At 37.0% G+C, this 9,908-nt stretch overlaps 2 annotated features.

Moving 5' to 3' along the window:
* Nucleotides 1,652-2,195: an enhancer, noted in NCBI's record as "OCT4-NANOG hESC enhancer chr6:99084768-99085311 (GRCh37/hg19 assembly coordinates)". NCBI's record gives its function as "activates a minimal SCP1, AML or CMV promoter by ChIP-STARR-seq in primed H9 embryonic stem cells {active_cell/tissue: H9 hESC(primed)}" and the evidence as "EXISTENCE:reporter gene assay evidence [ECO:0000049][PMID:30033119]".
* Nucleotides 6,245-7,927: an enhancer, noted in NCBI's record as "VISTA enhancer hs1085". NCBI's record gives its function as "enhancer in: neural tube[7/9] | midbrain (mesencephalon)[5/9] | forebrain[7/9]" and the evidence as "EXISTENCE:transgenic organism evidence [ECO:0001131][PMID:17130149]".

Below are 9,908 nucleotides of genomic sequence, written 5' to 3' on the forward strand. Positions count from 1 at the left end.
GCGAGCAGGATAATCTTCCTCTATGGCAGATGCAAGAAAGATGTGAAGTTTGGGGGATGAAAATGTATTTTGTGAATAGCTCCTGGGTATGTGGGCCAATCCCAGCCAATTAGAGGCTATTCATTAAGGCCCAAAAAGTGTTGCCTGGGTAGCAGATTAATAATGGCATAGACCTCTTTCAGGTTTCATGACAGGGCCTATTCTTTGCCAAATGTATCACATTTGAGAGTTTGTAGCCTGTTAAGTGTACTCATTAGGAAAAAATAATTATACTTTCTCAAGTTTTATGGATTACTTCTTTGAAATTCTCTACAATATCTAATAAACTTCAATTTCCCAATAACTTTAGAATACAAAATAATGGTTTAAGTTTACTAAATTAGGAACTGTTTAAAAATATTTGCCATCCATACATTGGCAAGTGGTTTGGTAAATTTGGAATACTGATCACAATCTCAGGCATAATGTGTGCTCTTCTACTTTCTGAATTTCCCTCCTCTCATGCTTTTCATCTCCCCTTTGACTAAAACAGGGAAAAGTTTGAGTTAATACAAGGGTGAAGCTGGACCTGAGCTTGGTTCTCTGCACTAGCTTTTCCTTTTTTGTTGTTTTGTCTCTCTCTTCTCTTCTATTTCCTCCCTGGCTTCATCTCTTCTCTTGGTCTCTCCTCTTCATAGTAGTTATTGTCACTATCAAATGTATGCTGTCACTCTACCGTATAATCTGTCACAGCAGGGCACCAGGTGCCAGGGGCAAGGCAACAAAAGTGTAGCGTGCCTTCTCTGCCCTCCAGGAGCTGGATGCTTTTTCAGGAGATCAAATACATACACATAACCTTCATGCTCTCATTCCTTCACGCTACAAATATTTATTGAGCATTTACTATATGTCAGACTCTGTGCTTTGTGATAAATAAAACAGAGCTCCCCCTTACAACCACCACCAAAATAAAGTAGCTAACACAGCAAAATATAACAACTGCCAAATGTCTCATAGATCAGAAGTGTTATGGAAGTCCAAAAGAAAAGATATTTCCACCTGAAGGGATCACAGAAGCTAAATAGAAAATATACATTAGAAAATAGAGCTCTAAGCCCACGAATATTAAAATATGCTTTATATAAGTTTCAATAACTCCTTTCTTTACCATGCATCAGATAGCAAACATATTTGCGTGCTTGATTTGGAGTTGTGGATAAAGAACTGGACGTTTCAGTCCTAACTCTGCTTACTTCACTAGAATTAAATATAATTAGACATTTTAAATTGCATTACAGATGTATTTATTATTTGTTCCTAAAGTGCTAAGTGATTTTGCTAAATTTCATTTATTTTCACTTTAAAAATAATACATATTGCTCTTTGAAAAAAGAATTATTGAGAGAGGAAGTAAATGCATCATTTTCAGGGATTCCCCTAGTACAAGAAAGTTAAAGGTCCTGTATTTACAATAACTAAAAGATATGGAAAAGAAACTCAAACTGTGAGTATACTTCATGACATTTTTCTTTCTCACAGATAGGTAGAAGACTACATTAAATGACACCTTCATAAATTTCATGAGACCTGTACACATTTGATCTGTGGATACATCGCCAGACACCATTTTCTTGATGTAAAGATAAGTTAGTTTGTTTTTTAAAATCCTGACTCAGCTTCCTTCCAGTATTTTTTAAGAGTCCTTGTGTATTCAATCTAATTATTTACCAAATAGAAGTTGGAGAGGATTCACTCTGGAAGAAATCCATTTTAATGTAATTGTTCTGGCATTTAGCACATCCTAATATTTGTCATCTGTTGCTCTTGCTGTGCATTCAAAGGGCTTGGATATGATGCCCTTTAAAAAAAAAAAAAAGAAAGAAACCCTCGGTATTGTGTAATACAGCACCATTTCATTGTAATGCAGAATGCATAGCTTCAAGTGTTTGCAACACTCTCCAGCCAGTTCCTTTCACACTGAAAATAGACATAGGGCCAATGTGAATGCAGGCTTTTTTTTTTTTCCAGCTCCACTAATCTTGCAGCTGACATCTTAGCAAACAATTAAGCATTCAAGAAAGTTTACAAAAATTAAAGCCAAATTGCCAGCTACTCCCTACTGATAATCTCAAAGTCATATATTTTGCCAAAAACAAAATGCACCAAGAAAATATGGTCACTTTAAAGGGACATACTCAATCATTATTCAGCAGCAGAACCACCTGCACCAACCCAGGCTAGCTACTTAATTTATTCCAATTCCTTTTGTTGTTGTTATTATTATTGTTCTTAGAAACAAGGACATTTTGGGGGAACCTTAGCAGGGCTTCATCTGAAATCTTTGCCATTTATAAACGTTATGTAGTTACTTTAAAGTGATCTGTAAAAGCCACAGTGACTCCCCATGCAGGTTTCTTTATGAAATTACAGGGGAAGAATGTTAAGTATAAAAGTTTACTCTTCCAATTCTAGAATTTTGCATTCCCAAAAGGTTGTAAAGAGATTGTTACCAAATCCCAGCTTAGGAGAAGGGAAGAAACGTCCAGTATCTGCTGTTTTCTTCCTAGTCATGATGCACCCTGAGAGTGTTACACAAAATGGGCTTTTTGGGACCACAATCTGGCCAGCCCTCAACCACCCCAAGTGGTCCTAAAGATCATTGATGGGGATCTTTGGGATGTTGGGGGAAGCTCTTCTGACATTTCTCTCATGTGGTGGGAAAAATAACAGTTCTCACTTCCTTCTCCTGCAATACTGAACTATATGCCTCACCTCTGCCCTCAGCATTTGGCCATTTTCAATGATTGTGTCCAAGTCAGCCGAAGACAGTCTACTGTTGCTGACAACCCTTCAGTGACTCCACTGCCCCTAGCATAAAAGTACAAATCACAATTTGGGAATTCTGGTTCCAACCCTTCTGCATTAGATAAACAGGTTTACTCAGCATCAAAATTGCAATAAGAGAACGAAGCCCTTTCTAGACGTTGCTGTGCAGGTGGGAGTGTCTTGGTATAAGGTGCTTACTAGGTTTTAATCACTTTTGCCATCTCTGACATGCCTTGGCCCTTTGCTCACTCAGGCTCTCTTTTGCTTCCTTCGTCTATCAGGACATTCTCCAGAAGGTTCTTTTTGTCTACTCAAGTTCTTGATACCTCCTCAGAATTTCAGCAACATGTTACCTTAAATGCTAATTACGTTTTTAAACATATATTTTTCTAACCAAACTGTAATGCAGAACAAGGATCTATAAGTAGTTTGTATTACAATGTTCAGTAAAGTACATTCTTGGTATTTCAGAGAACATTATTAATAATATTTTCTAAAAATGACACCCGAATAGAATAACAAATACATTGATTCAAAATTGATGATCTTGTAGTAACCCTAAAGTTTTCAGATGGAAATCACATAAAAATATGTGGCATATGGAATGAGAAAATCTCCCTCCTGGTTCTTCTTTTCCTGGAGTGTGTGGTCCAAAATTAACACCACTGCCCAAGGCATCATCATTCCTCAACCCTGATTCTCTCTGTCTGTGGTATTGGGGAAGTTGGTTTATCTTTACTTTCTTTGAGTTTGCCCTTTTTCAGAAAAAGGAATGAAAGTGTACTTTTCTTGGAATTGGTGGCACATTATAGTTTTGGAGAAGTATTTAATAAAAATCAGGCTAATAAAATGTTCATTGTGATTTTCAGAGAATATTTCAACAGAAACAAAATTAACTTATTCTTGTTTAATTGACTTTACCCTGTGACTACTTGTCTACCAAAATTCAAAGTTCTCAGTCTTTTGAAGTGAGTCTGAATCCCTGTCGGTTGCTTAGTTCTCCTTCACATTGTCACTGAGAGTCTGTTACAGATGATCTAGCTGTTGCCAGGGCATTAAAAGATTTTATCTTTGTAAATCATTCTCTACATTCTGCATGTAACAATTTATTTATTTATTTTTTCACAAAATACTTACAGAGCTCTAATGGCATTAGGTATCTGACATTCAATAGGTTGGATGGCACTTGGTGGCACTGGCCTCTGAGTATTCAATGAGAATACTGTTTGGTTCTTTTTCATTTTAATTGCTGGAATGGCTGTGGATATAAGTTGTTTTGCACAAAAGGGTGACAAATAATGATGAAAGACACCAGAGTGCTCTCATGTGTGGCTTCGTCAAGAAGGAGAAAAGAGATTATTGCAGCTGAACTGATCACATGGAATTTGCTGGGCCTTCCCTTTCCCCCCACCCCCACCCCCATCACCACCATGTGCCCTACTAAAATGCAGTTCTTACAATCTACGAACGATCCAGCTGAATAACACACAAAAATTGATCCTATTAACAATGATCTTTAGAATGTTCAAGGACATAACGCCGCTTTTGTAAGCCTCCAACATAAGCATTCTCAAATCCTTTAAGGAGCAAATTGTTTCTGGTTTTGTCGTTTTCTTCCTAGCAAACTGTTGCCTTAAAACAGAGCTTCTGTGGGGTGGGGGGAGCCGCACAAGCCTCCAGTTTAAAACAATGTTCTCACTGGCCTTCCTAGCAACTGAGATGTCACTTATATTTTTAATTAACATTTTAGTCCCCTAAAATTATTTAATACTAAGCAAACATGTTAATGATGTAAAAATCAATGCTAAGAAAAGTGGCCGAAGAGATAATAGGTAAAATTAATTATTTTATGACCTATGGGGTGTTCAATGGTTCTTTTGTTTAAAAAAGAAAAAAATAAACTTCATTACTCTTACAGGGAGTATTTATGATCTTTATGGAAAGAATGAGTCTGTGTCCCAAATTACTGAACATTTATGTGCCTGTGTAAGTCTGGATTTTTCACCCCCTTTTCTAGCATCTAAGTGGCTTTTATGTTCAGCAGCACTGAGGAAACTGTGGGCTTCCTCCTCCTCCTGGTGAGCTTACTCCTTTTTCTTCTCCTTTTCTTTCTGTTTTAGGGAATTGCCTCTGCTACCTCAAAGGCAGTTTTCCAAATATCTGCATCCCATGCCCTCCCTGAGCCTCGTGGCTCAGCTTCGCCTACTCTTTTCAACCAGCCTTCAGGCACTGAGGTCTGTGGCCCTAACTGCTGGCCCTTACCTCAAAGTTTCCTTGGTAGTTTTCTTACTTAAGCTGTGAGACACATCATATGAAAGACTGTAACTCATAACTGTGTGCGTAATTGTGCAGACATTTCAGCAAGAGGATGCTGGCTGTTTCATACTCTGCTTTAGATCTTTCAAAATAGAAACTCTCTCTACTCTCCCCTCTGCCCGCCCCCCACTTGCCGCCCCACTTCATTTCTAATCAAGCTGTTACTTGCAGGCATTTTCATTATTACACGAGGAGTGTAATACACAAAAACTTGGGCTTTGTAGTCATAATATGCTGCCAGTGGTTACAGAATCCAGAGAAAATTCACTGATGACTACAGATAAAGGTTGCGGTTTTGAACTTCTCACAATGGGCACTTTATGAATAACACCAATGGTGACAATTCTACATTAAAAGAGAATGCCTATAATTAGGCCTTGGACACACATGTTAATAAGTGAGGAACAGCTATGTCTTCCCACAATAGAGCCTGATCATTTCCATCAGGGACTGAGAGTCAGAAAAATGTTTTCCTTCATTAAGTTCTACTCATTCTGTGTTGGCTTTTTAAGTTCTTCAAAATTGAGGCAGGAGAAATTTATTTGGAAGAAGAGCAGCCTCTCTATTCCCCTCCCCAAGTTAAATTCTGAGAATAAAACGATGGGCCTTAACCGTTTTCTTTAACCCCCAAGTCCCTTTGTGTGGCAATATGGCTTTCTATTGAAGGTTCCAACAGTGGGGGAGGATTCAGATCTGTGTACAGACGAAGCCCCAGTGGCAGACAAAATGAGGTTTAGTATCATAGGGTTGCAAGAATTAAAAAAAAAAAAAAAAAAAAGATGGAAGGTGGATAATGAAGATGAATCTGGTTAGAATTGAGAAGAGAGCTCTCGGACCTAAGAAAGCACCTTCCCTTTACAGCCATCTCCTCCCCATTGTGCTGCCGCCCACATGACATAAAAGCCCTCAGATGGAAGCCCCTATTTATCCTGAATGGCAACAGTTCATTTTTGAGATGACCACATTCAGGGTCTGTAATCGGCCACCGTAAATAATATTTTACGTTTAAAAAGTATATACATGTAGTTGTTGAGAATGAGTTAATTAAGAGGTTTCCTTGTTGTTTGTTTTGTAATATCTTCAAAGAAAAAAGTTTAACAATTAAAGATTTGATTGTATTAATCCAACTTGCCCCATTTCTATCTTTTGAAAAGGAAAATATAAAAAGACTTTGTAAGCTGAAAACAACTATAGAACAATGTAAGATGTCACCAGCATTCACCCTCCTATTGCTTTGGTCAGTCACTTCTCTTTTCAGAAAAGAAAACCTGGTTTACTTGATGTTGTTGCTGTAGTTTTTAACAGAATCTTTCAACACACAAACACTAAATGGAGTCAGTGAAACACTTCTAGTAATAATTTCTTTATCTGTTTAAATTTAAATTTTCTTCTCTGAAAAAAGTGATTGATTTCAATAGTTTCAAAAAATTTTATTGAAAGTGGGAGGAGAGGCTCTTCATGTCAAGAAAAGGTATTTTCTGAAGCCTCTGAAGAGTCCAGCATTTTATTCTTATGCCCCATGTACAGTGGGAGGGAAATTAAGAAGTTTGAATGGGAACCGAAAGAACTGTTCTTTGTGCAGCTCAGTCTCTCCTGATGTGGTATGTGTTCCAGGAAAGAGGACAGGCACTGAGACTAAACACAAAAATCAAAATGGATTTTACTCCGCCTCCAGTAAACAGCATGGCACAAAAGTCCATTGTGCTATGAGATAACTGCTAAGATGAATGGAGTTGGCTGTCACGGAGGTGATTGTGGGGCCGGTCTCTATTGGATCACAGTCCAGGACTGAATTCCTTTCTGGTTCATCAGGGTCTGTTGGTACCACAGGAAGTGTCATGATCCTTTTTTTCACTAGGGCCAGATGGTGTCCTTTTTGAGGCCTTACTAATGCCCAGTTTTCCACATGTAAAACTCCTGGGAAAATGACCTAACTCACAGCTGCTTAGTGAGGCTTGAGCAGGCCTTTAGAAAGACTTCTGTCAAGAACAAGGAGATTGTACCACTACCAGAGTAAAGGGGGAGGCTCTGGCCAGAAATGTATCAATTACAAACTATTTTTAAACGACCATCATAATTTGAATTGTGATTTGCACAATGTATGTCTTCATAGGCAGTGGCTAAAAGGATATTTCACAAAAGCAACTAATGGCTAGGGATGCTGATTGTTTTCCTAGCAGAACTTTTACCTTCCTTGAGAGCAGATGGCCTGAATAAGAAGAGAAAATGTGGTCCAGAAGGGTCGGGAAAGGACAAAAAGTGAAAGATTCCCTAGATAGCTGCAAGGAGCCTGGGGAGAGGGGAGGGATCCTAGTGTTAAAAAGAGCTGGAAAAAGTGGAAACTTTTGATGCATGTGGGTTGTGTTTACTGATGAATTGAATGATTCCCAAGAGTAGACAACTGCAGGTGTGATATTTAGAAAGCAGGATGCCTTTTCTATTAGCCGAGTTATAGTGAGAACACATCAAAGTTGTTATAGGGGTTCAGTATGAGATTCATACTGAAAGTTACTGTAGGATTTTTTCCCATCCTAAAAAGCATTAGCAATAATTACCTTTGGGATAAAGCTACTCTTAATAGCTTTATCTCTGCTTTTGAATCTTTGCTTATTTTTGTGCATTGAGTAGCAATTGGTCCTTACTTATTTGTGGGTGCATTTTACCCTATATGGGAATTTTTTTTATCCTGATTGTTTTCACCTTGTTTAAAGCGGTTCTTTTACTAGCTATAAGAGTTCTTATTAACTTTTTGATTAATTAATTTGTAACAAATGACAGATTTTTCATGTCATTTTTGAATGGTTGGTTCAAATTAAAAAAATAAATAAATACAAAGCCTAAAGCCATATAAAAGGAGGTTTGTATTTTTTTCATCCAAACTATAGCCAAAAAAAAATTGCAAACAAATGAAGCATCAGAATAATTACTGTGAGGATCTCTTTCTATAAGGTTACTTTTCTTTTTTAACCTACTTGCAAATTTGCATAACTTTCAGGTCACAAAAATCTTACATTACTGGAGGGAGGAAGGAAAATTAATGTAAAACATTTGACTCATGTTTTCACTCAAGTGCTTAACATTAAGTCTATTGAAAGAAATGTTTCATCTCACATATTTAAACCTAACAATTGCTGTGTAGCAAATGAAAGATCAGCAACATAAGATGAAAGCAATACCTTCACAATTTTCATTGTCTAAGATTTTTGATAAAAAGACATAAGACAGTGATTAGCTATTTTTATTACTCTAATCTTAAAAAGCATCAATGTCCATAATTTGCAGATTATTGACTTTATTGTTTGTGATTGTTTCACAGAACCTTGCTTCCCATATATAACTGATCACAGCTTATGCCAGGATGAGAATTGTCATAAAGTAACGTAACATTTCATAAAAATATGTTGAGAGGCTGCCAACTTCAAAGGGTGATTGATACTTTGCTCAAGTGGTGCCAGTTTAATTCACCCTTTAAAATGCCCAGCTCCATGGGGAACTTGGAAATGTACATGTAGGACACTAATCTGAGAGGATAGGAGAGAAGGAAGTACATTCTCCTCTGGTTAGCAACCAGCAGCATTACAACAAAGATGCAACAACTTATTAAAGGCATAATTTGTTTATTAGCTTGTCTTTATTTTTAAACAATAATAGAACTCAGTAGAAACAGTTTTAAATATAATTCTTAAATATAGTTTTAAAAATAATTGGTAGTTATTTTGCTTTTGTTTTAAAAATGTGCCCCACTGCTGGGGCCCAGGTCAGCAGAACAAACACAGGTATCTTGCATACCTGTACGATCCACGTAGTACCGCTAAGGAGCCCCAGAGACAGAACCAGGATTTCCTCCACTGGGTCAGTTACATGCAGCCTGGCTTTTAGCAGAAACTAGCCTGTCTCCTTCTTTTCATGGGCAGGGTTACGTTTTGTTGTGGCACAAAGAAATCCTTTCCTCCCTTGTTCACAAAGCCGCACAGCACTGGCTCTCCTTTATCAACTGCTCTTTTCTTTCTCTGAATGCTATATTTTTTTTATTTACATAAGAATTCTTGTAGATGTTTTATTTACATATGTATTCACTCATTTCAGATGAATAGAAGGAAGTGATGAAACCCTAAACCCAAAAGCACATTTTTACAAAGACTAAAAACCATCTCTGTAGCTGTCACTGTGCCAGAAAGTAACTCTAATCTTGCTTTTATCTGTCTTAATTGTTGACAATTGTCTTAATTGTCTTACTCTTCAGTGCTTGGGTAGAAATTCATAGAGTTTGCAGTGCCTTTCCAAGAGTCAAGTTTGATGCCCACTAGTTTTCTTGTGAGACAAAGAGGAAGGAAAGGGTACTATCTGAAGAAAGCCTCTCTGATTTGGGAGATGCTGTTCAGTTATTAGAATGGATCATCAAAGAAAGAAAGAACCATCCTGAGCCACATATGAGTAATCATAATACATTTATGAATTTTATCACATAACTACTAAAAAGCAAAGAGTATTCTTTTAAAATATTCACAAATTAATCTTTGACATTACTTATTTAAATAATTTTTTTTCAAGAATATCCATTCATACAGAGAGTAAAAATTCAAATTGACCAGTTCAATATTTATTTGTGGCAGAAACTAGAACTTTCATATGTTTTCAATATTGTAACTTCTGGCAGTGGGAAGAGAGACTTTCTTGTTGAAAATTTTAATGTCATTTCCCAAACAAAAGACTTGGTTAATTTTGAAAATAAAAATCCTTCAGTTAGTTTTCTCATTGTGGGAATATATGTGAAATATGCTCTTCAT

This window comes from Homo sapiens, chromosome 6, assembly GCF_000001405.40.
Source record: "Homo sapiens chromosome 6, GRCh38.p14 Primary Assembly".
Taxonomy (NCBI): Eukaryota; Metazoa; Chordata; class Mammalia; order Primates; family Hominidae; genus Homo; species Homo sapiens.